This window comes from Homo sapiens, chromosome 12 (assembly GCF_000001405.40).
Source record: "Homo sapiens chromosome 12, GRCh38.p14 Primary Assembly".
Classification (NCBI taxonomy): domain Eukaryota; kingdom Metazoa; phylum Chordata; class Mammalia; order Primates; family Hominidae; genus Homo; species Homo sapiens.
In genome coordinates, this window is record NC_000012.12 from 131,375,267 (window position 1) to 131,402,075 (window position 26,809).

Sequence of the window (26,809 nt, forward strand, 5' to 3'; positions counted from 1 at the left end):
GCGCATGTGTGTGTGCGTATGTGTGGCGTGTGTAGGAAATATATGCGCCTAATCTTAAGATATCTCTTAAAGGACACTAAACAGCTGCTAAGGGTTGTGCCTCCAGGAACACAAGCTGCTGGCTAGAGATGGGGGTGGGAAGATGTGGCTGAGATTGCCAGCCGTTCAGCAGGCTTGGCCCATCTTCCTTCTGGGCACAGTGAGACCACATTTCTCAGCCCACAGTTGGCATGAGAATGTCTCTGGGCAGCGGTCAGGTCACAGGCCCGTCCTGTGCTGCTGTCGTCTTCCTCTCTGAGGTCTTCCAGCTGGAACAAGGCCTTGACAGCAGGCGACCCCTTGCCCCACACAGTGGAGTATTCTTTTGCTCTGGAGTGGCGTTTCCCAAAGCACATCTGCAGGCCTCTGCCTCATGCAGGGTCACCTTGACACTGTTGAAATGCAGATCCCTGGCACCATCTCTGCAGAGTCATACTCTAGATAGAGGCCCAGGATCTGGGGTCTGTGTTTCAAGGAGCCCTGGGGGGCACTGCCTTTGAGAGCAATCACTTGACAGCAGCACTCCCCAACCTGCCTGATGCACTGGGATGATCCTTACACACCCAGACCTAGAGCCCCGTCCACGGAGATGCGAGTTCGGGAGCTCTGGGGGCCCAGGAACCTGTATTTCAAGCACACGTCTGCATCCCCGGTTCTTACCATGCAGAGAACTTGGGAAGCTGCTTTAGGAGACCCCCACCTTAGATGGTGTGGAACCCCCTCATTCTAGGGCATGGGCACGCACAGGGACTCCCTCCCCAACAGCTTCGGGGGCTGTGATGGCATCACAGCTGGGGGAGGAGAGCCAGGCCGTGCACTCGCAGTGCCCAAGTCAGGGGGCCAGCCTTTGTTGTGTGCCACCGGCCTGCCCTTGAGGGACCTGCTAAGTGTTTTGCATCCTGCCAACCCCCTCAGGGAGTGGGCAGGCACCCGGTCACTAAGAATGACGAGTGGCAGCAGGAAGCGGAGACACACCTGACTGAAATTGGTGACCTTCCTGGGGAAGCTCAATCCACAGCCACTGCTGAGTGCCATTGTCAGCTGTTTTCTCCATCTTGAAATCAGCATCCCAATGAAAGTCCTATGGGCATGAGCTCGGCCAGACCGCATTGATCATCTGTCTCACTTTTCTTTCTATTCTATTTTTAGGGGTTTTTTTCTCCTCTTCAAAGAAACAAGTTGTGTAAAAGTTGCAGAAGATTGAGGAATACTGAAAGAGATGAAAGGCCTCGTTTCATCCAGGCCTCAGGGATGAGCCCCGTAACAGGTCAGCGCTAGTTTTTCAGAGCCATCAGACACAGTCATGTGAATGTGTGTGTGTGATAGGTGTACACACACATACATACATGTGCACATATAGTCTTCCAGGGCACACAGGATGGTCACTTCTTCAGTAACTGCTACTCAATATTTCATGGTATAATTATGCTGTGATTTGTTTACTACGTTCTCTATTGGTAGAATTTTCGCTCTTACAAATTTGTTTCACTTTGTGCTCCTATAATTTTGCCATGAATAATCCTAAAAATACACATTTGTGTAGTTATACAAGTGGCTCTGTCCTGCCATGGTTGAGAGAGGAGACTCGGGAGTTGGATGCATGGGTTAGAGGCACAAATCCAGGCTCAAGGACTTACTACCCATGTGAGCACTGTCTTAGTCCATTGTGTGTTGCTCTGAGAGAATACCTGAGGCTGCGTAGTTTATAAAGAAAAGAGGTTTATTTGGCTCACGATTCTGATGGCTGAAAAGTCCAAGTTTGGGCAGCTGCATTTGGTGAGGGTCCTAGAATACTTCAACTCATGGCAGAAAAGAGAAAGGGCATCAGGTGTGTGCAAACAGATCACACAGTGTTGGGGGGGAAGCCAGAGAGGGAGACCAAGGAAGAAAGAGAGGGAGACCGATGAAGCCAGAGTGGGAGATGAAGGAATCCAGGCTTTTAAAGCATCCTCTCTCTCAGAAACAAGTCCATTCCTGGGAGAGCGAGCACTCACTCACTACCAAGAGAACAGCACCAAGCTATTTGTGAGGGATCCATCCCCATGATCCACACACCTCCCACCTCTCAACACCACACTGGGGATCCCATGTCAACCTGAGTTTTGGTGGGGACCAGAGAGCTACATCCAAACCATAGCAACCATGGACCCATTACTCAACTCCTCTTCACTTTCACCTGCTAAGTGTGGAAAATTTGTACTGTCAGTCCTTACATGAGTGCTTACATAAGAGAGCTTGTGTGAAGAGTAAGGTAACATACTCAGGCATGTTGGAGCAGTGCTCACCTCACAATAAGTTCTTGGTAAGTGTTAAGTACAGTTTTATTACTGGTGAGGAGTTTTCTAGTAAATACATAGAGGTAGAATTGTTGAGCGAAAATATAGTTTGGCCACTTCTTTTGTCCTTGGTCAGGTCACAATCTCCTGTAAATCTTTCACAAAACACAGTCAGTGATTTACATGCTTCTCCTTTAATCTCAGACTTAGTTTTTAAAACTAAGTGATTGCCATCTTTGCATTTCATCTCAGTGCTGTAAAATTATCCCGGCCTATGTGCGGGAAGGGGTAAGGGCCCCTTAAACAAAGATGGAGTGAGTGATGTCCATTCTTTTGCTGTTTCACTGCCACAGCAGGAGAGATGGGAACGGGGGGCAGATGTGGAAAATATTTGGAAGGAGATCTGATGACATGTGTCAGTGTGGGAGTGAGAGGGGGAGAACCAGCGCTAACTCTTGCATTACCGACACGAGAAACTCAGCGTCACTGAGCCTGCAGGAGCGTGGTAGAGGGGATATAGGTAGGGTTCGTTGTGGGTAAATTTGAGAGGCAGTTCAGGGTGGTGGACAAAGCTGCAGACTCTGTATCAGAGAATTAAACGAGACAACCCCAGCAGGGACTAAGTACACAGCAAGCGCTCAGTCATGCCATCATGATGAATGTCAGACGTCCCAGGGTCATTCAGGTGTCCACCAGAGACATGACCACAGGCTCCAGGGTGGAGACGTAGAAGCTTGTGATCTCCGTGGTGATCGCGGTGGAGGTGGGAAGGGATCGGCTCCGCAAGCTGTCCTGCCGGCTGGCTCTGCTGGCTGCCGTAATGAAGGCTCCCCGGAGCCATGCCACACCTGCCCGTGTGCGTGTCGCCCGTGGCTGTCCTCACTCTACCACGGTGAAGTTGAGTGACTGCAACAGAGATAGCGAGGCCACAAAGGCTCCAATCCCTACCGCCCATCCCTTCCCAGGAAGCCCTTGCCAACAGCTGGATTCTATTCCCGAGCAGGAGCACATATAGAGGAGGGGCGGGGTCTGGGGCCTCAGGAGCTTCAGCTTAGATGTTGCTTACAGGAGGAGAGGAGGGGCCGGCGCAGGGCCCCAGGGGTGTCCCGAGAGATGGAGGAGACAAGTCAGGGAAAGGGAGGGTTTCCATAAGAGAAGGGCCAGCCCGCCCCTGCCGCGATCCTTGTGGTTGCTTTGCTCTTCGCCTGAGGACCAGATTTCTCTGCAACCTAATCTTCGAGGCAGATGAACCCCACAGCCCTTAAGGTGACGTCTCCTCTACCTCAGAGGAGATGTTCGGTCTGAGCATCTTGGAGTGTCCTGGAATCTTCTGGCTCCAAGGCCAAATGCCCAGGAAAGGGCTGGGGTTGGGCCGGCTCCTGTCAGGTGCTGGTAAAGGCCTAGTCAACTGTCCGTGATGGGCAGGGTCTCACTGCAGGCACTCGGCAGCCGGCCCACCCCGGGTGTCTGTAGTCCCACGTCTTCAAGACACCCTTTCAGTGGCTACCCCCGAGACTGGGCAGTGGGAGCCCTTTATTCTGGGAGCCTGATGCAGTGAGAAGGTGCATTTGGCACTGCGATTCCACAAGGCACGCCAGGCATCTATGCAACTGTCCATTGGAGACTCCAGATCCCAGCTGCAGACAGGGTCGCAGAGCGTCCCCACCCACACACATAGCCTGACAGGCGGCCTCAGCCTAGCGTGGACATGGAGCCTTCACATAGCACTCCGGCTCAGGCCACCATGACGTGCTTAACTCTGCTACCTACCGAGCCCCAGAGTTCCCCCGGGGGCCCCACGTCTGAGACCGTCGTGACCACAGACACCAGGGTGGTGACCAGCTGCCTCCCCGGGGGGCCTCCCCTGCTGTGGGCGGCTCAGGGCTGCCCCACCAGGATGCCCCCATCAGCCGCCTGGTCTCTCAGGGTCTGCCGCGACTGCCCCATTCCTGATTCTAGTCTTTGCTTTTTGAGACAACAGAGCACAAATTCCATTTCAGAGGCAACCGTGAGGCGTGCGACATGGCCGCAGATGGGGTTTATTTCTTGGATTTTTCTCTCCAGTGTCCCGTCTGATCTGAGCTCTGTTCATTAGAACTCAGGGTGTTTCTTGCTGATTGAGTGAGAACGGACACAGAGCCCTGAATTCTCCTGGAGGCTGCTCATTGGAAAGTCTGCTCCAATTCACTGCAGATATATAAAGCCTCGCACCAGACTGCATCTCGGGAAACACTGTTCTGCTCTGTTCTATTTTGTCCTGTTCTATTTCCCCCAAAGGCTGAGTGCGGAGCTTCCTGAGGCAAAACTCCTGTGGACCCACCAGGAAGCTGGTCTTGAAAGATGCTGCACCAGACGACTCGTCCACTCACTAGAGACTCACTTTGCCGGAGAAGGGCTCGGGCGTCGTTGGAAGAACCCAAAGCCAGGCATGAAAGGACCTCAGCCAGGGAGGGCACCGCATTCACACAAATGCTGCGTGTTCCCATGGAAACAGCACAAAACCTGACCGAGGAAATGAATGCTGAATGTAAACTATTTGTTTAATTTTAATGGGAGTCAATTTTTAGCGGTGTATTCCCAGTGCTATTTGAAATTTTCATAGGGTAACAGTAAATGCCTCTAATCTTTTTGTTTTTAATTGGCTTTTCCAGTGGACTGATTCCCCGTGAATAAAGGGGAGAAACGCAAAGCAATGTAAACAAAGCCAAAAGCAGGAGCAACGCCAGGGCAAACGGAGGCAGAGTCCTCGCGTATCTGTGATCAGCACCGGCCCATCCTGGGTGCAAGAGAGCCCGCTGCCAACTCGCCCCCGTCACAGCAGCTGCCTCAGCCTCCCCAGCCAGCTGTCCCTAGCCCTGGACCTCACCACCCCTGCCAGCCCGTGCCATCCTCAGTTTCGGGGCTCACTGCGGCTGCCGCTGGGCTTGAGGGAAGGGCAGTGGTGGGCGGGAGAGGCGGGAGGCCCTTCTATGGTGCCCGTGGAGTTGTTTCCTGTGTGGGGTGCAGGCTGCCCAGCTGTGTTCACTGTGAAAATCTACCCGGACACACATTCACAACTGGTAAATTGAACTTCAATAAAAAGGTAAAATGTAGGTCACTCCCTGAGCTGAGAAGGAAGCTCTCATTTATGAGAGGGACCATGATGGACCACGCGCCATTTATGAGCTGCTCACCGCGGACAGACCGTGTGTCCAAATCGGGGCCTCCAGGGCCCAGCGAGCTGCTCTGACCTCCGAACGTGAGACAGAGCTACCGCCAGTTCTAAGAGCTCCTCTCCTCTCCCTCTCCCTCCCTCTATTTTCTCTCCCCCATCTCCATTTCTCCCTCTCCCTTCATTTCTGTGTCTCACTCTCCCTCCCCTCTTCACCCTCCCTCTCCCCCTGCACTTCTCCCTCTCCCTCCGTTTCTGAGGGACATGGCCTGAGCGCTGGCACATGCCATGGTGAGCCCCAGGGGAGGACACAGGCTCCCTGCCACTCCCCGCAGGGGTCACTGAGCACGTGGGGAATAAATGAGGGGACTTGGAGCCTGACGGTGCTCGTCTCAGGCCCTGCTCCCAAAGCCTGGTCCACACCCAGCAGCCTCCACCGCGGGACTGGGCAGGCTACGAAAGGGGAGCCTCGGGCCCCTGAATAGGTCTGTGCGCTCCAGGGCAAGGGAGAAGACCTGGCCTGGCTCAGGGGCAGAGAACTGTTCTTGGGGCTCTCCGGAGTCACCACTGCTGTTAGCAGTTAGGCCAATGGGCAGCGAGACCCATGGGGAGCGAGACTCCCCGTGGGGAGAGGGTCCCGTTCCCCGTCTGCCTGTTTCGGGGGGGCCAGTGTCCCAGCATGGTGGCTAAGGTGGAGTCACATAAGAGTGACAGAGAAGAGACCCAAATCTCCTGGCCTCAGCTGGGAAGCAGCCTCCCCACCGGCTGCCTAGACCCCTGAGGCTGGAGGAGCGGGACTCACAGGACAGAGTTGAACGGAGGCCTCAACCCCGCAGGCGCAACCGAGTTGTTTTCAGGGCTCAGGGGGAGGGAGCGGACAGAATCTCGTGTTCTTCCTGACTGAAGCTGGACCCCGCTATGACCCCTCCCTATACTCCACCATCCACCCTCCTGAAAGATAAATGGCCTGGAGGGCTTCACCCGCAGACATGAAAGACCCAGGGGAAGAGCTCGGGGTCTCCCTGCTCCCTTGATCAAGCAGCCCAGAGGTTCCCAGCCCAGGGAAGGCTGTAGAGCAAAGGTCATTGGGTGGTCGCCGGCGACCAGGGAAAATCAGTGTCCACCCTCAAGCAGGACCCTGCCAGCCTGTGTGGCTGACCCCTGAAGGAGGGCTCACTGGATGGCAGGTTTGAGGGCGATTTGCTTGGGTCCAGGCTGGGGGGTTCTGCCTGGCCCCCCCAGCCAGCCTGTCCTGAGAGTGGGCTGGTGCTGGCCCGGCGTCGGCCTCCGTGCCCACCTCCTGGCAGGAGGGCCCTTGGCGCAGGCCCACACCTTGCACCTCGGTTACTTGAGGCACAACCCAAACAGGCAGGGGTTCTCCCATCTCCAGGTTGTGAGCTTGGCGTCTCCAGGGAAACTGCCCCAGCCTCTGCCAGCACCGAGGAGGCAGAGCCTGGATCCATAAAGGAACTCAAGCCCTGCAAACCCCAGTACTGACGAGCCACCTCCCCGGGGCACTGTGCCCTCTCTGATTCCCACTCCCTCCTGGTGCTGCTGAGCCACCTCCCCGGGGCGCTGTGCCCTCTCTGATTCCCGCTCCCTCCTGGTGCTGCTGAGCCACCTCCCCGGGGCGCTGTGCCCTCTCTGATTCCTGCTCCCTCCTGGTGCTGAGCCACCTCCCCGGGGCGCTGTGCCCTCTCTGATTCCCCCTCCCTCCTGGTGCTGCTGAGCCACCTCCCCGGAGCACGATGCCCTCTCTGATTCCTGCTCCCTCCTGGGGCTGAGCCACCTCCCCGGGGCGCTGTGCCCTCTCTGATTCCTGCTCCCTCCTGGGGCTGAGCCACCTCCCCGGGGCGCTGTGCCCTCTCTGATTCCTGCTCCCTCCTGGGGGCTGAGCCACCTCCCCGGGGCGCTGTGCCCTCTCTGATTCCTGCTCCCTCCTGGGGCTGCTGAGCCACCTCCCCGGGGCGCTGTGCCCTCTCTGATTCCTGCTCCCTCCTGGGGGCTGAGCCACCTCCCCGGGGCGCTGTGCCCTCTGATTCCTGCTCCCTCCTGGGGCTGCTGAGCCACCTCCCCGGGGCGCTGTGCCCTCTCTGATTCCCGCTCCCTCCTGGTGCTGAGCCACCTCCCCGGGGCGCTGTGCCCTCTCTGATTCCCCCTCCCTCCTGGTGCTGCTGAGCCACCTCCCCAGAGCACGATGCCCTCTCTGATTCCTGCTCCCTCCTGGGGCTGAGCCACCTCCCCGGGGCGCTGTGCCCTCTCTGATTCCTGCTCCCTCCTGGGGCTGAGCCACCTCCCCGGGGCGCTGTGCCCTCTCTGATTCCTGCTCCCTCCTGAGGGCTGAGCCACCTCCCCGGGGCGCTGTGCCCTCTCTGATTCCTGCTCCCTCCTGCGGCTGCTGAGCCACCTCCCCGGGGCGCTGTGCCCTCTCTGATTCCTGCTCCCTCCTGGGGGCTGAGCCACCTCCCCGGGGCGCTGTGCCCTCTCTGATTCCTGCTCCCTCCTGGGGCTGCTGAGCCACCTCCCCGGGGCGCTGTGCCCTCTCTGATTCCTGCTCCCTCCTGGTGCTGAGCCACCTCCCCGGAGCACGATGCCCTCTCTGATTCCTGCTCCCTCCTGGTGCTAAGCCACCTCCCCGGGGCGCTGTGCCCTCTCTGATTCCTGCTCCCTCCTGGGGCTGCTGAGCCACCTCCCCGGGGCGCTGTGCCCTCTCTGATTCCTGTTCCCTCCTGGCACTCCTGAGCCACCTCCCCGGAGCACGGTGCCCTCTGATTCCTGCTCCCTCCTGGGGGTGAGCCTGCCCCATCTAGGGTCGGGAGGGCCTCACCCACAGGCAGCCTCTCCTCACTGCCAGTAAAGCTCTTTGTGGGGGCCACCACCCACCACCCTGGGTCCTGTCTTTTCCTTGATTGGCCTGGAAATCCCCTAACTTGTCTCACTACTAGAAGCTTCCAGCCTAGATATCCGATCAGGATGGGCCACACCTGGCTTCCAATATACAGGAAGTGAAAGCTTCAGTCCTAGTCATTGGCTTGGCGGCCGCTGACCAGACAGGACTCGGGAAGGTTCGGGGACCCAACTGCACCCAGGGGTGGGGCAGGCTCTGGTCCTGTCATTTTCCCATCCCAGGAGTGGGAGGGAGCTCTGAACCTCAGCCTTTCACCCCCAAGTGGAGGTCCAACCCCCCAAGTGTCTGGCCTCAGAACCCCTCAAATCCAAGAACCCCTCTCCAGAAAAGAGCAGTGCTGGGGTCCAGCCCGTGGCCCTGACCACAGCACGCAGTGGCCCTTCCTGTCCCCTGAGGCTGCCTGCCCAGCCAGAAGACCCCGCCTGCACTGGGACCACCCTGCTCACCTCCCTGGGCCGCCCCAAGCCACCCTAGTGCCTGGAGCCACCTGGAACCCTAGATCCCAGGGCTTGGTCCGTGTGTCCCAGGGTGGCCACTTCTCCAGAGAGAATTCGGCTTTTCTGCCAGCCCTGCCGCCCTCTCCTATACCACTGTGGATGCTGCAGGGAAAGACCCCCACCCTCCTTTTCTCTGTGGGAGGCTGACTGGGCTCACCGGCTCAGCAGGGACTCCTGGACATCCTCTGCGCCTGGAAGGGACTGGCATACAGGGAGGGGCCCTGCGGTGAACGCGGGGTCCTCCTCTCTGGGCTGCTAATAATTAAGGGATGACAGGACTCCGGGACTCACTTCCACTCTGCTGCTCAGACAGCCGGGCTGGGGCTCGGGAACAGGAATTGAACAGAGGTTGCCCAGGGTATTCTCGTGATTAGGGCCCGACAATAACCTTTGTGATGTATGAGAGTGAGATTACATTTCAGTTATCCAGGGCCAAGGGGCCACAGGGCCACTGCACACGTTGTTTCTGCCGATCCTGCGGCCCCCCTCCCTGCTCCCACCATGCTCCTGCCCCCGACCCATTGCCCCCAGAAACCCAGGCTCAACCCTGCCTGCGGCATTTCTGGATCTCTGCGTGGATGCCTGTTGCCCGTCACTGGGTACCCAGACAAACATCCCCTCCTGGGGAGGCCCCCATCCTCTGTCTAAAGCAGCCCCTTCCCTGCCAGTCCTCCCCCCACCCATGGAGCCACAGCCCTGAGCAGCGAGAAGCCTGGAAGCAAAGCCCCCACTCTCCCTCTTCCCTCCTCGTCCAAGCCCAACAGAAGCCAGAGGCTGTGGGAGCCCAGGGATGCTGGGTGTGGAGGTCGGCTGTAGAGATTAGGACAGAGCAGGGCAGAGATGAGAGATGTGGGGAGGAGATGGGGTGAACTCTGCACCCCTCCCTCATCCTGCATGCAGCCTGCCACCGACTCCCTCCCCATTCCCCTACCTGGCTCCATGGGCCTCTGAGCAAACTGCTCCATGAAATTGCATTTGACAAGTGGGTGCGCTCCCTTCCTGGGGGGCCTCTCCAGAGCCCTTTATTTATTATTTATTTATTTTTATTCTTTAGAGACAGGGTATCGCTCTGTCCACCCAGTCTGGAGTGCAGTGGCATGATCTTGGCCACCGGCCCAGGTGATCCTCCTATCTCTCAGCCTCCCGAATAGCTGGGACCACAGGCATGCGCCACCATTCCTGGTTAATTTTTGTATTTTTTGTAGAGATGGGTTTTGTCATGTTGTCCAGGCTGGTCTTAAACTGGGCTCAAGTGATCCACTTGCCTCAGCCTCCCACAGTGCTGGGATTATAGGCGTCAGCCCCCTCGCCAGCTCCACGTCCCTTTAACCCAGAGCGTGGTTATCCTTGACCTGCACACACCTGCTAGGGGCACTGACGGTGTCTGAGCTTTACTTACAAGCAGGTCCTGAGCTAAGTCCGTACAGGGCATCTCTTACACCACACTCCACAGCCCGCAGCCTCGGAGCCCCAACCTGCCATGGAGAGCAGCCGTCCCTGTGCCCTGGTGTCTGTTGTTGGCTGACCTCACCTGGCAGCAGCTGCTGAGTGGGTACTGCTCCCTCCACGCCCCTACTGAGCCCAGCGGCTGGGCCCACCTCAGGTGATGGTGTCCCCAGGAGCAGCCAGATGTCCTCCACAAGCACCGTATCCACATCGAGCCAGGCAGCAAAGTGGGAGCACAGACGCAGCCCCACAGGCGCAATGGGGGCAGGTGGGGATAGGGACTCCTGTCTTCCCGCAGGCCCGCGGGGGCCTCCGCCACTGCTTCACACGGTCCACACCTCCCAACCCCCGCCCCCTCCCCGAGGGAGCTTGAGGACCCTGGGTTGAGAGAGACCCCAGCCCTCCCAGGAGCCTCTGCATCTTGCTGGCAAAGTCACCTGCGTGGGCAAGAAGAGGCACAGACCTCAGCTGGGGCTGCCTGGAGAGCCCGGGGGTGGCGCAGGTAGAAGCTTCTGGAGAGCGGGAGTGGGCAGGCTGCAGCTCTTGCTCTGGGGGCAGCACCTGGCCCAGCCCAAGAGACCTGCAGAGGCCGGCAGCTGGGCCTGGGTGCCTGGAACTCAAGAGAACGCCAGAACTCACGGGTCCAGGTATGGTGTGGCCCCTGCGACACCCACAGGTGTGAGTGTGCATGGAGAGGGAGGGGAGGGCAGGCACTCTGCAAACTGTGAAGTGCGGCGCACCCTGGCAGGTGGTGGGAGCACCTTTAACACCCTCACCTGCTTCTGCTCCTTGTGGGGTGAGGGGTGGCTGCTCCTTTCTCCAGACCCTCCTGCAGACCCTGATAGGTCAGGACCTCCTGCACTGGGGGCTCTGGGAGCATCTGAGGTCGTCGGGGCCGGTAAAGCCTGCAAAAGGCTGAGCCTCCCTCCTCCCCTGCCTTTCATTGGAAAGTCCTAACAGCCACATATTTCATTTGAGAAATAAATATTCATTAAAATCATATAATATGGATTTATGACTGCATTTGAGGGGAAATTAAAGGAATAAATAACCCATAGGTCTCTGAATTTGTTGTCCTTAGGCGGAAATGTCTCCAGCTTGGTTTCCAAGCTTATTTAAATGAACTTGCCTCACTTGTTAGGAAATATGCTTAATTTCTACAGTTCCAGAATCCTTTTTTAGTTTAAATTTTTATGTAAAACACATGGGTTTAATATTCTGTTGAAAGTTCAGTAAACTCAAGGCAAATAACATTCTTAAGCAACTTTCAAATGATTCCGCAAAGCTCTGACATAAATGAGCACACCTGACCGCGCAGAACGCTGCCCCTCCCCCAGCCGAAGGAGTCCATGGAGACCCTATGAGGTCAGAGCTTGAGTGGGGGTGACTGCGGGTTTGCACCCTTGGAGCACGGGGGAGTTTCACTGAAGTACCAGGAAGACGTGTTCTGAGCTGAATCCTGGGTTCCCGTGGGGTCAGAGCAGCCGCCCTGGAGGGGGCTCTTGTCTGCAAATTGGAAGTGCAGCCCCCAAGCCCCCAACCTTAGGCAGAGGCTCCTAAAGGGCAGCACTGGGCGGGAGGTGGGGGTGGGTGGGAAATGGCTTTCACCCCCGGGAGAGCTCATTCCTGGGCATCAAGCTCACGTGCCCCTGGAGGGTTTCCAGGATCAGGCGCCTGAAGAGTCCTGAGCCTCATGTCAGACAGAGCCCGCTCCCCACCCTGATGAAACTGACCCCCAGCAGGGGAAAGCCTGGCCAGGCCCACAGAGCCCAGACACCACCTCCCGCCAACTCATGCGTTTCTGGAGGCCTTGGGGTGTCGCCCACACCCCACCGGCTGCAGCGCCCGCCCGTGTCTTCCTGTTACCCCCTGGGATGTGGCCTCTGAGGGACCCCCTCCTGTGAGGCTCCCCCGCAGCGGAAGTCCTGTGTGAAGCTGCTCCTGCTGGCTCCCCTCCCCCACTCCCACTGCTCTAAGAGGCCGGGAGGACCCGCGTGTTTGGGTGGATGTGAATGCTTATTGGCCCAGTGAAGGCGCACCTGCAGAGCGGTTGACATGGGGCTCCTGAGTGGGAAGCAGCAGTGTGGGCCTGACGTCCGCCCATTAGCACACACCTGAGGCCGCTCCTAAACTGAGTTAGGCTTTGAAACACGTTCTCCGCCAGCTGCTCAGGCAGGGGAGGGAATAGGCCAGCTTAGTCCTTAGCGGGAAGACCCCTCGTGACCCGTGACGCCGTGGGCTGGGGGACCACGGGAGTCTTAGCGCTGTGTCCTCCCCGGTGCCGCCACGGTGCAGTGCTCGTTTTCTCAGGCTGCGTGGCCCAGGCCCCAGGATGGGGCTCCTTGTCTCCTAGCCTGGGATTGGGAGAGGAGAAGGGGGGCAGTGTCCTCTCCCTCATATTCAGTGTTTCCACAAAGGCCAGGTGAGAGCTCGTCACATGCCTGGAGCAGTTCTGGGTTCTGGGGCCCTGGTGGAGAATTGAGGCTCCGAGACCCCTGCCCTCCCAGAGCCCCTTCCTGCACTGAGAGGATCCAGGGCCAGCCTCAGGCCTAGGGCTCACAGACGCCCAGAATCAGGGCCCTCAGGCCTGAGAGGGACAGCAGAGAAAAGGGGGTCCTCGGGCCCAGCAGACTCAGACTCACCAGGGGGACCTGGGAGGCGAAGCATTGCAGCGTCCTGGACCTGGATGCTGTTTTCTATCAGGCAGCTTTGGGGATTTCCAGTTGGGACCACCCTCTCCTGGAGGGCAGAGCTTCCTGGCCGTGGATCAGTCATCTCGCCTCTGGTTGAAACTTCCCAGTGACAGGGAGCTCACCACCCTCCAGGGGACAGGGAGAAACCCCTTCCTTCCCCTGCCACAGGTCAGCCCAGCCCTGCAGACCACACTACCCACTCCTCCGCTCCCCCTGCCCAGGGCAAACTTTCCCTGAATCTCTTCTCCAGCTGACACCTCACCACCAGGCTGTTCCTGCCTCTGAAGTCCCCTCTGGCCAGAGCAAGTGCCCAGGGAGTGCCAGCAGCTCCAGCTGCTGCCTCCCCTGCCTCCCTGCTGCAGCCTCAGGGCTGAGCAAACCCCGTGGGCCCACTCAAATCAGGTGCCAGGCAACGATTTGGGCAGCTCAGATGGGAACAATTAGAGGTGAAAGGAGGCTCTGCCAAATGTTGTTTGTCTTTTGCATGCTAATCAGCTGTAATTGTTAGATCCACATTTATAATGCAAGCAGAGAAGAGAGTTCTCACCCTGAAGCCTGGAGTCTGCTGCTCCCCAAGGCAGAGCGCCCACTGGGGCTGGGGTTCAGGAAGCCAGTGCTTTGCTATTCCAACTGCAGGGTGTGCTCTGAGGCAGGAGGCCTGCTTTGCGTTCTGGAAACCTCTGAGCTTTTCTACAAAGGAGCTCAATTCCTTTTTCCTGATGTCCCAACTCCTCCTCCTCCTGCAGCTGAAGCTGGAAGTTACAGCAGCAGAGCACAGGCAACAAGCCCTGCGTGACTCAGGACTGGTGTCCCGAGTCCTGGGCTGAGCCGGAGTTGACCCCACAGCACAGCAGAGGCTACACTGGTGTCCTGAGTCCCCAGGCTGAGCTGGAGGTGACCCCGCAGCAGAGCAGAGGCTACACTGGTGTCCTGGAGTCCCCGGGCTGGGCTGGAGGTGGCCCCACAGCAAAGCAGAGATAACACTGGTGTCCTGAGGCCCCGGGCTGAGCTGGAGGTGACCCTGATCCTGGAAACCCTCCAGGACCTAAGTGGGGCTAGAGAGACATCCAGGTCAGTGTAGACACACCTGGGGGGTTAGGGAGGCATACAGGCCAGTGTAGACACACATGGGGGTGAGGAAGGCATACAGGACAGTGTAGACACACCTGGGGACTAGGGAGGCAACCAGGTCAGTGTAGACACACCTGGGGGGTTAGGGAGGCATACAGGCCAGTGTAGACCCACCTGAGGGGCTAGGGAGACATGCAGGCCAGTGTAGACACACCTGAGGGGTTAGGGAGACACTCAGGTCAGTGTAGACACACCTGGGGGTTAGGAAGACATCCAGGTTGGTGTAGAAACACCTGGAGTTGGCACAGGTAGAGAGAGAGTGAGACGCTGATGGTCAGTGCGTGCTTGGCCTGAGGGACATTCTGGTGTCCAGGTCCTCACAATGTGTCCCCCTCTGGTTCCTTTGTCCCACCTCCCAGGGCTCCACTTGCCCCCACACTCCACCCCACATGCACCCTGACTCCCCAGCCACCCTGTGTCCTCCCCTGGCTCTGCTTCCCATGGAAGACCCGCCCTCCTCTGCTGGCTGCAATTCTGCACCTCTGTGCCTGGTTCTCCCGCTTGCCCCGAAGGCTCCTCTCTCCACAGAGACACCCACCTGTGCAGGTTCCATCTCTTCAGTGCCTTTGCCCTTGGACCTCTGGTTGGGTTTAGTCCATGGGAGCCCTGGTAAGATCAGAGGGAGGGGGAAGCATGAGGTCGGAGTATTTATGTCCCTGGCTACCAGTGGGGTCATGGTGGCTGCTGCAGACTTTGATCTTCTATTTCCCTGTCTGTCTCTTTCCTTCTCCTCCTGGTTCCAACCCACACACTCCACCGTCATTCCCTCTGGCCTGGGGGTTGCAGGGCAGGCCTGCTGTTTCCAGCTCCTCCTCCTGTACCCCTGCCTCCTGTCTGTGCCCTCCTTGACAAACGTCTTATTAATGCTCCTCGGCCTCCTGGCTTCGTGTGCCATCTATGTCCTGCTTGGATTGTGACTCATGCCTACCTTTCAGGGCCCGGTTCAAGTCCCTGCCTTGGATGAATCCTGCATCAGGTGTGTAAACACGTGTGCATCGTGAACCTCTATATGGGATTCAGAGATGATTACTCGGGACTTTCGTAATTCTGTTTCTACCTCCTTCACTCATGAGCTCCCTCTTGAGAGCAGAGGCAGCTCTGTCTCATTTATCTGCAGGTGTCTGCAGGTGGCCTTACACACCCTAGGAGCTTAGTAACACAGCTGGATTCCCTGAGCATGGGGAGCTGTCTGCAGCTCTAGCCCTGGATGTTTTCAGGACCCTGGAGAGGTCCACGCAGGTGTGGGAGGCTGGAGGTCACTTTCTTCAGGGCAGAAATGGGCAAACAGAGGATTTCTATGGGCAGCTCTGGAATGAACGTCTGTTTTTGCCTTCTGCTTTGGACAGCTGCTCCTTAATGTCTTCAAACCTCATAGGAAGAACAAAGGCTGACCCGGGAAAAAGCTCCACTGGGAAGTCTGGGCAGCTGGTATTCTTGGCTCTGCACCACCTCGTGCCCTTCCCGGCACCAGGGACAGACAGGCTCCCTCCCCCTATGCCTCCGGCTGCGGCATCTGACCACTGGGCCAGGTCTCTGTGTAGGTTTCTTTTCATCTATACACAAAGTTTCTGCTGTGACCTTTTTCCCCGGCACCGAGTTTACAGGAAGTCTGCTTAAATGGGGCCAGCATTTCTGTGTTTAATAATTCAATGCTTGCGCTCACCGTCAAGCCGATAATTTAGTAACAGTGGGGAGCTCAGCCTGCCTTCCACCATAGATCATGTTCTGCTTTGCCTTCCAGAGCACACGGGCGGGTGAGGACACTGTCCTTCCCAGCGACGGCTGTGACTTTTACATGGCCATTTAATGGCCCCAGTTAATATTAAGCGCTCCCAGTTAATATGATGGCAAGAGGAAAATTACCTGTGCTGATAGCTGTCCTTGCCACCTATAAATTCCTGGGGCATTCACCATATATTACCAAGGAATGCCGCCACCTCCTCGTAATGACCCAGGTGACAAACGGCTCCTGGGCCCACGCTCTTCCCTACCAGCCCTGGAGATCTTCCCAGCTCTGTCCCAGGAAGGAGGTATTGAGGTGTGGCCCTGGTGTGGCCGGGGACATGTTCCCCAGGGGTGGCTTGCAGACCACCTGCCTTAGAAACAGCTTGGCGGGGGAGGGGAGGGCTTTGGATGCACATGTTTGTTCATCCCTGTCCAGAGCCGGACGCTGAGATGGAGGCTGCCTTTCCCACATTCCCGGGGGTGTCCGTGTCTTGCCGCTTTGGGAACCTCCAATGCAGGGCAGGCGGCCAGGGCTGGGACCCAACGGGACTCGGGTCTGCCCTGTCCCTGCAGAGTCTTCCCCACAATGGTGCATTGCTCCCTGAGCTGTGCCCTTGCTACTGTGAGTGCCTGTCTGGTGCTCTGGGAGCTCTGTTTGCAGTTTCAGGCAGTTCTGAGTCCATTTCTAGGGGAGAAGAGGGAATGGCATTGGGCAGAGGAGGCATTGGGAACCAGGGGCAAGGGTGACCCCAGACCACACGCCCAGGTGTGCAGAGGGAGGCTCCCTGGGTCTGGGAGTCAGTGCGATCTGCCATGAGTCTCCCTCTCCCCAGGGGTGGATCCCTCAACAGTCAATTCCTCGTGTCTCCGTCGGTGCAGTTTCCTCCAGGCAGCAGGCAGAACCCTGCAGGAAGCAGAAATGGCCCAAGTGTTTCACAAGGAATGGTGTAATGAGGTTGCTCTCAGAACAGTGGCCAGGGAACAGAGATCCTAAAAGGATGTGGGTATCCACAGGACTAGCAAGGGCAGGAGGCGCCCCTCCTTTAGGCTCCAGGACAGGGAAGGAGGGGGTGTCCTGGCCATGAAGGGATGGATGCTGCTGGAACCACAGATACAGCAGGAAGGGCTGGGGACAGCCACCAGCTTCCACCTCCTCCTCTCCCAATCTCCAACTAGGGCCTCCCTTGGCCAAACTCAACAGAAACGATTAGAGGCATCTCTGGGCCGCAGCCCCTATATGTTCTGTCTCCAGGTCAGAGACCAGGACTAAGAGGCAGCACGTGGAGAACGACCAGCAGCATCCATCAGTCAGAGTCACACTGCCCAGCCCACCCGCTGTCTCAGGTGCCAGGGCATGGGGGGTGGACGTGGTGTGATATGGAGGGTGGGTGTGGGTGTGATGTGGAGGGTGGGTGTGGGTGTGATGTGGAGGGTGGGTGTGGTGTGATGTGGAGGGTGGGTGTGGTGTGATGTGGAGGGTGGGTGTGGTGTGATGTGGAGGGTGGGTGTGGTGTGATGTGCAGGGTGGGTGTGGGTGTGATGTGGAGGGTGGGTGTGGTGTGATGTGCAGGGTGGGTGTGGGTGTGATGTGGAGGGTGGGTGTGGGTGTGATATGGAGGGTGGGTGTGGTGTGATGTGGAGGGTGGGTGTGGTGTGATGTGGAGGGTGGGTTGGTGTGATGTGGAGGGTGGGTGTGGTGTGATGTGGAGGGTGGGTGTGGTGTGATGTGGAGGGTGGGTGTGGGTGTGATGTGGAGGGTGGGTGTGGTGTGATGTGGAGGGTGGGTTGGTGTGATGTGGAGGGTGGGTGTGGTGTGATGTGGAGGGTGGGTGTGGGTGTGATATGGAGGGTGGGTGTGGTGTGATGTGGAGGGTGGGTGTGGTGTGATGTGGAGGGTGGGTTTGTGTGATATGGGGGGTGGGTGTGGTGTGATGTGGAGGGTGGGTGTGGTGTGATGTGGAGGGTGGGTGTGGTGTCATATGGAGGGTGGGTGTGGTGCGATGTGGAGGGTGGGTGTGGTGTGATGTGGAGGGTGGGTGTGGTGTGATGTGGAGGGTGGGTGTGGGTGTGATGTGGAGGGTGGGTGTGGGTGTGATGTGGAGGGTGGGTTGGTGTGATGTGGAGGGTGGGTGTGGTGTGATGTGGAGGGTGGGTGTGGTGTGATGTGGAGGGTGGGTGTGGTGTGATGTGGAGGGTGGGTGTGGTGTGATATGGAGGGTGGGTGTGGTGTGATGTGGAGGGTGGGTGTGGTGTGATATGGAGGGTGGGTGTCGTTTGATATGGAGGGTGGGTGTGATGTGGAGGGTGGGTGTGGTGTGATGTGGAGGGTGCGTGTGGTGTGATGTGGAGGGTGGGTGTGGTGTGATGTGGAGGGTGGGTGTGGTGTGATGTGGAGGGTGGGTGTGGTGTGATGTGGTGGGTGGGTGGGTTTGATGTGGAGGGTGGGTGTGGTGTGATGTGGAGGTTGGGTGTTTTGTGATGTGGAGGGTGGGTTGGTGTGATGTGGAGGGTGGGTGGGTGTGATGTGGAGGGTGGGTGTGGGTGTGATATGGAGGGTGGGTTGGTGTGATGTGGAGGGTGGGTGTGGTGTGATGTGGAGGGTGGGTGTGGTGTGATATGGAGGGTGGGTTGGTGTGATGTGGAGGGTGGGTGTGGTGTGATGTGGAGGGTGGGTGTGGTGTGATGTGGAGGGTTGGTGTGGGTGTGATATGGAGCTCCACCTGGGAAGAGCCACGGCCCCTGTCTCATCAGATCACCCCACCTTTTCACCCAGCTCAGGATCGCAGTATAAGTCCCTTCTCTCTGGCTTTCTCTGCAACCTGCAGTTCCCTGTCCGTCTTGGCCAATTCATCTGATTTGCAGATGGGGAACCTGCCTGGCACGAATCTTATAGCTCCCAGTTCAGCATTATGAATCTCTCAAGGCCAAGAGCAGAATATTCAGCTGCACTTTTCCCACAGTACCTATGTTCCCCCAAGGAAAACCCAGTTTCCTTTCTGTCTCCTTCTCTCTCTCTGTCTCCCTCTCTCCCCACCTTCCTTTTGAAAATCAAGAGCAAAGCTCCCTCCCAACTCCTGGTGTTCCCTGAGCAGAATGAAAGCCAGCCGTGTGAGTTGAAGAAATGAATGAAAGATTGGGAACTGAGTGCCGGAGGAGACCAGCCCCTGGGAATACGTGAAACCCCCACACTGAACTTTCAAAATCCAAAGAAGAGAATCCTGAGGAAAGATCTGTATCATTTGCCAGGGTGCACGATGTGCAAGGATATTAACAATTTAACAAACACACATCAAAGAAAGGCATAAGTAGCGTTTTTTAGTGATAATTTTTTATTGGAAGCATGAATGAGATATAGACATTTTTCTTGATCTGGTTTAGTAAAATATTACTGATATTAGATAAGCAAATTCCTACTGTAACCCAGAGGACTAAATTGTATGAACAATGTTGTCTGATGTCCTGGTTGCCAGGCACTGTGGACAGCCACCCCAAAGTCCTCCCCACCTCTTCTTCCTGGCCCTCTCCAGGCAGACAGGATGGAAACTCAGTGCTTGACTGACCTTTCCAGCCTCCTTTGAAGTTCTGAGAGGCCTCAGGTCTCCTCACCAGAATCAGCTCTCACGTTCGTGCCCAGCAGACCCTTCAGGCAGCTTTCTGAGCTAGGCTTCTCTAACTCAGAACCAGCGCACGCTTCAGCCCCCCACACCTCCTGCTTGGCCTCCTCTGGCCTCGGTTGATGAGTTGGAAGCTCCCTCCGCTGCCTCCCTGCGCCCAGGCTCACAAACCCGTCACTGGATGTCTTTATTTAGTGAGCTTTCCTGCCCAAGCCTGCTTCCAGGGCAGGATGTATTGATACAAAATCCATCAGGAGATGTGTCTGGGCATTTAATCAATGAGGCTGCAGGGAGCCCCGCGTGACTCAGAGGGTGCCGGGAGTGAAGGCCAGGCAAGAAGAGCATCCAGAGTGGGCAGAAGGGTGGTTTTTATTTTTGATCCTGTAATGTCAGGCTCCAGCAATTAGTTGTCTATTCCCTGTAATGCTGGCACTGCAGCAGAATTCCACCGCAACCTGGATATTTGCCCAGGTACTCATTTTATAACTCCCATGTTCATTCAATAAATACCCTACCTGTATCCTATGTGCCAGACACAGATCCAGATGCTGAGAAGAGTCAACTAACAGCTCACAGGTCACACTGAGCTTATGGTCCTGTGATGGAGGGATGGTGATGATGATGGTGATGATGGTGATGGTGATGGTGATGTGATGATGGTGATGATGATGATGATGGTGATTGTGATGATGATGTGATGATGGTGATGATGACGGTGATGATGGTGATCACGATGGTGATGGTGATCGTGATGATAATGTGATGATGGTGATGATGACGGCGATGATGGTGATGATGATGGTGATGTGATGATGATGATGATGATGATGGTGATGGTGATGTGATGATGGTGATGATGATGATGGTGATGATGATGGTGATGATGATGGTGATGATGGTGATGATGATGGTGATGGTGATGGTGATGATGGTGATGGTGATGATGGTGAAGATGATGATGGTGATGATGATGGTGATGGTGATGATGGTGATGGTGATGGTGATGATGGTGATGATGATGATGGTGATGATGATGGTGATGGTGATGGTGATGATGGTGATGTGATGATGGTGATGGTGATGATGATGGTGATGGTGATGGTGATATGATGCTGATCATGATGATGATGGTGATGATGGTGATCATGATGATGATTGTGATGTGATGATGATGATGATGGTGATGATGATGATGATGGTGATGATGATGATGGTGATGATGATGGTGATGTGATGATGGTGATGATGATGATGATGGTGATGGTGATAATGATGGTGATGTGATGATGGTGATGGTGATGATGGTGGTGGTGGTGATGATAATGGTGATGGTGATGATGTTGATGATAATGATGGTGGTGGTGGTGATGATGATGACAATGATGGTATGATCATGATCATGGTGATGATGGTGGCAATGGTGGTGGTGGTGATGATAATAGGATGATGATGGGATTATGATGATGATGGAATGATGGTGATGATGGTGGTGGTGGTGATGATTATGCTCATGGTGATGGGATGATGGTGGCAATGATGGTGATGATGATGGTAATGTGATGACGGGAGGATGTTGGTGATGGTGATGGTTATAATGATAATGGTGATGATGATGATGGGATGATGGTGATGATAATGATGTTGGTGGTGATAATGATGCTGATGATGGTAATGGTGATGGGATGATGGTGATGATTTTGTTAGCCTGTTTTCACACTGCTATAAAGATACTGCCTCAGATTGGGTAATTTATAAAGACAGGTGGTTTGACTCACAGTTCTGCATGACTTGGGAGGCCTCAGGAAATTTACAATCATGGCAGAAGGTAAAGGGGAAGCAAGGCATGTCCTACATGGCATCAGGCAAGAGACAGTGAGGAAGTGCCACACTTTAAAACCATCAGCTCCTGTGAGAACTCACTCACTATCACAAGAACAGCGTGGGGGAAACCATCCCCATGATCCAATCACCTCCCACCAGGTACCTCCTTCGATACATGGGGATTACAATTTGAGATGAGATTTGGGTGGGGACACAGCCAAACCCTATCATTTTTTAAAATTTGAGACAGAGTCTCACTCTGTCACCCAGGCTGGAGCACAATGCCATGATCTCTGCTCACTGCAACCTCCGCCTCCCAGGCTCAAGCAATTCTCTTGCCTCAGCCTCCCAAGTATCTGGGATTACATGTGCCCACCACCATGCCCAGCTAATTTTTGTATTTTTAGTAGAGACAGGGTTTCACCATGTTGGCCAGGCTGATCTCAAACTCCTGACTTCAAATGACCCACCTGCCTCAGTCTCTGAAAGTGCTGGGATTACAGGCATGAGCCACCACGCCCAACCTCCTTTCACATTTCAAAACCAATTACGCCTTCTCAGCAGTTCCCCAAAATCTTAACTCATTGCAGCATTAACTCAAAAGTCCAAGTCCAAAGTCTCATCTGAGACAAGGCAAGTCCCTTTCACCTATGAGCCTGTAAAATCAAAAGCAAGTTAGTTACTTCCAAGATACAATGCAGGTACAGGCATAGGGTAAATGTTCCCATTCCATATGGGAGAAATTGGCCAAAACAAAGGGGCCACAGGCCCATGCAAGTTGGAAGCCTGCCTGAAATCTTGAAGCTCCAAAATCTCCTTTGGCTCCATGTCTCACATCCAGGGCACACTGATGCAAGTGGTGGGCTCCCACAGCCTTGGGCAGCTCTGTCCCTGTGGCTCTGCAGGGTAAAGCCCCCACAGCTGCTTTCACAAGCTGGCATTGAGTGCCTGTGGCTTTTCCAAGTGCACAGTGCAAGCTGTCAGTGGATCTACCATTCTGGGATCTGGAGGATGGTAACCCTCTTCTCACAGCTCCACTAGGCAATGCCCCAGTGGGGACTCTGTGTGGCGGCTCCAACTCCACATTTCCCTTCTGCACTGCCATAGCAGAGATTCTCTATGAGGGCTCCACCCATGCAGCAGACTTCTGCCTGGACATCCAGGCATTTCCATACATACTCTGAAATCTAGATGGAGGTTCCCAAAGCTCAGCTCTTGTCTTCTGTGCACCCATCGGCCCAACATCATGTGGAAATTGCCAAGGCTTGGTTGGGGCTTGCACTCTCTGAAGGAATAGTCTGAGCTGTACCTTGGCCTCTTTTAGGCACAGCTGGAGCTGGAGTGTCTGGGACAGAGGACACCATGTCCTGAGGCTGCACACGGCAATGGGGCCCTGGGCCCAGCCCAAAAAAACATTTTACCCTCCTAGGCCTCTGGGCCCATGATGGGAGGGGCTGTCTTGAAGATCTCTGACATTCTCTGGAGACATTTTCCCCATTGCCTTAGTGATTCTAAGACATTCGGCTTCTCCTTACTTATGCAAATTTCTGCAACCAGTTGGAATTTCTCCCCCAGAAATGGGTTTTTCTTTTATATCACACGGTCAGGCTGTAAATTTTCCAAACTTTTATGCTCTGCTTTTCTTTTAAACATACGTTCCAATTTCAAACCATCTCTGTGAGCTCATATAACTGTATGCTTTCAGGAAAAATCAGGTCACTTCTTAAATGCTTTGCTGCTTAGAAATTTCTTCTGCTAGATTCCCTAAATCATCTCTCTCAAGTTTAAAGTTCCACAGATCTCTAGGGCAGGGGAAAAATGCCTCCAGTCTCTTTGCTAAAGCATAGCAAGAGTGGCCTTTGCTCCAGTTCCCAATAAGCTCCTCATCTCCATCTGAAATCACTTCAGCCTGGACTTCATTGTCTATATCACTATCAGCATTTTAGCCAAAACCATTCAACAAGTCTCTAGGAAGTTCTAAACTTTTCCACATCTTTCTATCTTCTTCTGAGCCCTCCAAGCTATTCCAACCTCTGCCGGTTATCCAGTTCCAAAGTTGCTTCCACATTCTCAGATATCTTTTAGCAATGTCCCACTACCTTGGTACCAATTCTGTGTATTAGTCTGTTTTCACACTGCTATAAAGACAGTACCTGAGACTGGGTAATTTATAAAGAAAGATCTAATTGGCTCACAGTTCCATATGGCTGGGGAGGTCTCAGAGAACTTATAATCATGGCAGAAGGTGAAGGGGAAGCAAACCACATCTTACATGCTGGCAAGTGAGAGACAGTGAGGAAATGCCACACTTTAAAACCATCAGCTTTCATGAGAACACACTCATTATCACTAGAACAGCATGGGGAAAACAAACACCCCCGCCATGATCCAATCACTTCCCACCAGGTTCCTCCCTCAACACATGGGGATTGCAGTTTGAAATAAGATTTGAATGGTGACACAGAGCCAAATCATATCAATGGTGATGGTGATGATGATGGTGATGGTGATGATGGTGGTAATGATGGTGATGATACTGGTGATGGTGATATTGATGGTGATAATGGTGATTTTGATGGTGATGATGATGGTGTTGGTGATAATGGTAATGATGGTGATGGTGATGATTTTGGTAATGATGGTGATGATGATAATGGTAATGTGGAGGTGATGATGGTGATGATTATGGTGATGGTGATAATGATGGTGATGGTGATGATAGTGGTGATGATGATCATGGTAATGTGGAGGTAATGGTGATGATTATGATGATGGTGATGATAGTGGTGATGATTATATTGATGGTGGTGATAATTATGTTGATGATGATGATCATGACAGTATCAGCAAGGGAAGCAGGCACTGTAGTAGCAACCCAAATAAACATTGCATGGGTTATTTTTACCAGACACTATTCTAGACACCTCACATATGTCAGGTCACTCAATTGACACCACAACACCTGAGGTAAGTGCTCCTGATCTCCATTTGATAAATGAGAAGCTGAGGCACAGAGAAGTCAAGTCACCTCCCTAAGGGCACACAGGATGTGGCAGTGCTGGGATTCAGAGCAGGCACCTCATCCCAGAATCAGTGGACTCAGAAACAATGCCCTGAGCTAATAGGTAAATGCTTTCAGTGACAGTAACAAGTGTCATGAAGACCATTAAGAGGGTGATGTGAGTATGCCTTGGGGTGAGGAGGCTGCATTCAATGAGAGGTCAAGGAAGGCCTCTCTGAGTAAACACTGGTTGGAGATAGGAAGGATGAGGTTGTGAGAAGTGTTCAGCCAAGTGTCACAGCAAGTGCAAAGGCCCTGGGGTGGAGTGAGCTTGGAGCATTCAAGGAACAGCAAGAAGGCCAAAGAGGCTGAAGCAAAATAAACAGAGGGGGAGATGGAGCCTGGGCCATGGGGGCCTCACAGTCCATGGGACATGGTGTGGGTTTATTGTGAGTGGGTGGAAGCCCCCGGAGCCCCTGCAGGGAATCACCTCAGTCACTCCATGATGCCTGAGTGTGTGGTGCTGATTCTGGGCTATGGGGCAGGTTGGGGCCTCTGCTGTGTCCTGGGGACAATGGGAGGAATCTGCTCCCAGCAATTATAAACACATCACGAGCAAGACGGCAAGAGCCCTCTCTGAGGTAATCATGTTTGGGAAAGGCCCTCCTAACACACTGCATTTCCAGGAGCTAGAATGTCTTGACCTGGCCTAGGACACCACTGTGCAAATCAAGGGACGTGTGTTCATTTGAGTGGATTGCAGCAGCCAGGGTGGGGCCCAGCGTTGGGAATTAGATCCAGGTTGTGCTTCTGTGAGAAGTTCTGTCTCTATACAAGTCAACAGCACCATGGGAGCTCTGGTCCCTTCCCAGGTCATCAGGAGACTTTGGGGTGAATTTATAAGTAGAGGCAGCTGAGCCCTTATGAAGTTATCCTAGACATCTTGGAGGCCTGAGTGGGCCACATCTCTGCAGGCAGGACCACCAGGCAGGGAGTGGGCAGCTTTGTTGTCAGGGGCAAGGCTGCAATTAAACATCTCATTGCCCTGGCTCCAGCTCCGGGACTGCCTGCAGGAAAACCAATGATCAGAAATGCAGCTGGTGGGGTGCCCAGACTCCTCAGGGCCCTGCCTTCATCTGATGATGCTGCTGAGCTTTGCACATGAACTGTGCCATCCCAGGAGGCTGTGCTCTCATGAGGAGGTGTGTGACTGTCTTAATGAGATGTCCCTGGCACTGAGCCAACCTAATCTCAGATCCTCAGGGTGAGTTCTTTGAGCTCTGACTGTCATCATCCCCTATGACAGCCTGGCTGAGTCCTGGGGGATGGGTGCTCTGACACTCAGATCATGGATAGGGCTGCCATTGTAGAGAGGAAGACACCAGCATGCACCAGCCCACACCCCGCCCCCTTCATCCTCTTCTGCCCCTCACAGGCCTCATTGGGGAATGCTTGGAATTATTCCAGGACAGCTTTGTCCTTTGCCCAGTGCTGTGTCCCCAGGTAAACAGTGGGTGCCTGCAGAGAGAGGTCCTCACGGGGACAGAGCCTGCAGTGCCACAGGGCCCATGCCACCTCCCTCCTGGGTACACTTAGAGCCCATTCCCAGCCTCCCTGTGTCAGGTGGGGTCAGACGACCAAGCTCTGCCCAGAGGGCAGCACTTCCAGGCAGGCCTATGGAGAAGGCCCTGCAATTCTCGCATTTTCTCTTCCTTATGAGCCAGTTAGACAGAGAGGACCCCAGGGGCTCAGAGGACAGTGGAGGGAGTCGACGCAGGAGCCCGGGCCCTGATTGACCGTGGGGGGAGGGGTGATCCTGTGCCCCACTTTGGAATGTCCCGAATGAACTTTCGACTCATACTGGTTGAAGTCCCTGCAGGAGTGGGGTCTGCTGTCAGGGTCTGTCGCCCACCCTGACCAAACAGCCATGAGTCCAGACTCAGTTCCTCTCACTGTGGTCTGAATGTATCAGCTCCCCTGTTCCAGTGGACATGCTCCGGGGGATTCCAATATGGGGACAAAGGAGAGAAGTCTGGCCTCCTTGCAGGAGAAAGGCCCGAAGTTAATTCCGGCTGGAATGACCCGTGTCCTCTTTCCTCCTAACTTGAGGATCTCGCCCCGCAGTGCACAGGAATTAACTTCGTTTGTGGACACTTGGTTTGATCCTGCCAAACGTCTGTTCTCCATCCCTTTGAGACAGTTCTTACCTTTCCCTTCCCCCACCTTGCCTCCGTCACCTGTGATTTGAAGGAGGCTGATCCATCCTCCATCCCAGCTCCTGTAGCCCAGGCCTGGTCAGCAGCAGCCTTGGCCCTGGACTCAGTGATGGGTTAGAGATGGTCTCACGTTCCCTGCCAGGCCAGGAGGCTGAATTCCAGAACTTTGTGGGAACTGGCAGAAGCAGGGAGCTCTCTCTCCACTGCAGTTGGGAGGCTGGTGCGGTGTCAGCCTGGGATGGCTGAGAGCATCACACAGAGAAAACCCTGCAAGTAAAGGCAACAGATGAA

General features: G+C 55.1%; 3 annotated features.

The window, feature by feature from the left end:
• Positions 5,280 to 5,861: an enhancer, noted in NCBI's record as "H3K4me1 hESC enhancer chr12:131865091-131865672 (GRCh37/hg19 assembly coordinates)". NCBI's record gives its function as "activates a minimal SCP1, AML or CMV promoter by ChIP-STARR-seq in primed H9 embryonic stem cells {active_cell/tissue: H9 hESC(primed)}" and the evidence as "EXISTENCE:reporter gene assay evidence [ECO:0000049][PMID:30033119]".
• Positions 16,381 to 16,530: a silencer, noted in NCBI's record as "fragment chr12:131876192-131876341 (GRCh37/hg19 assembly coordinates)". NCBI's record gives its function as "represses an EF-1alpha promoter that drives an FKBP-Casp9 reporter gene in an ReSE screen in HepG2 liver carcinoma cells {active_cell/tissue: HepG2}" and the evidence as "EXISTENCE:reporter gene assay evidence [ECO:0000049][PMID:32094911]".
• Positions 25,419 to 25,596: a silencer, noted in NCBI's record as "fragment chr12:131885230-131885407 (GRCh37/hg19 assembly coordinates)". NCBI's record gives its function as "represses an EF-1alpha promoter that drives an FKBP-Casp9 reporter gene in an ReSE screen in K562 erythroleukemia cells {active_cell/tissue: K562}" and the evidence as "EXISTENCE:reporter gene assay evidence [ECO:0000049][PMID:32094911]".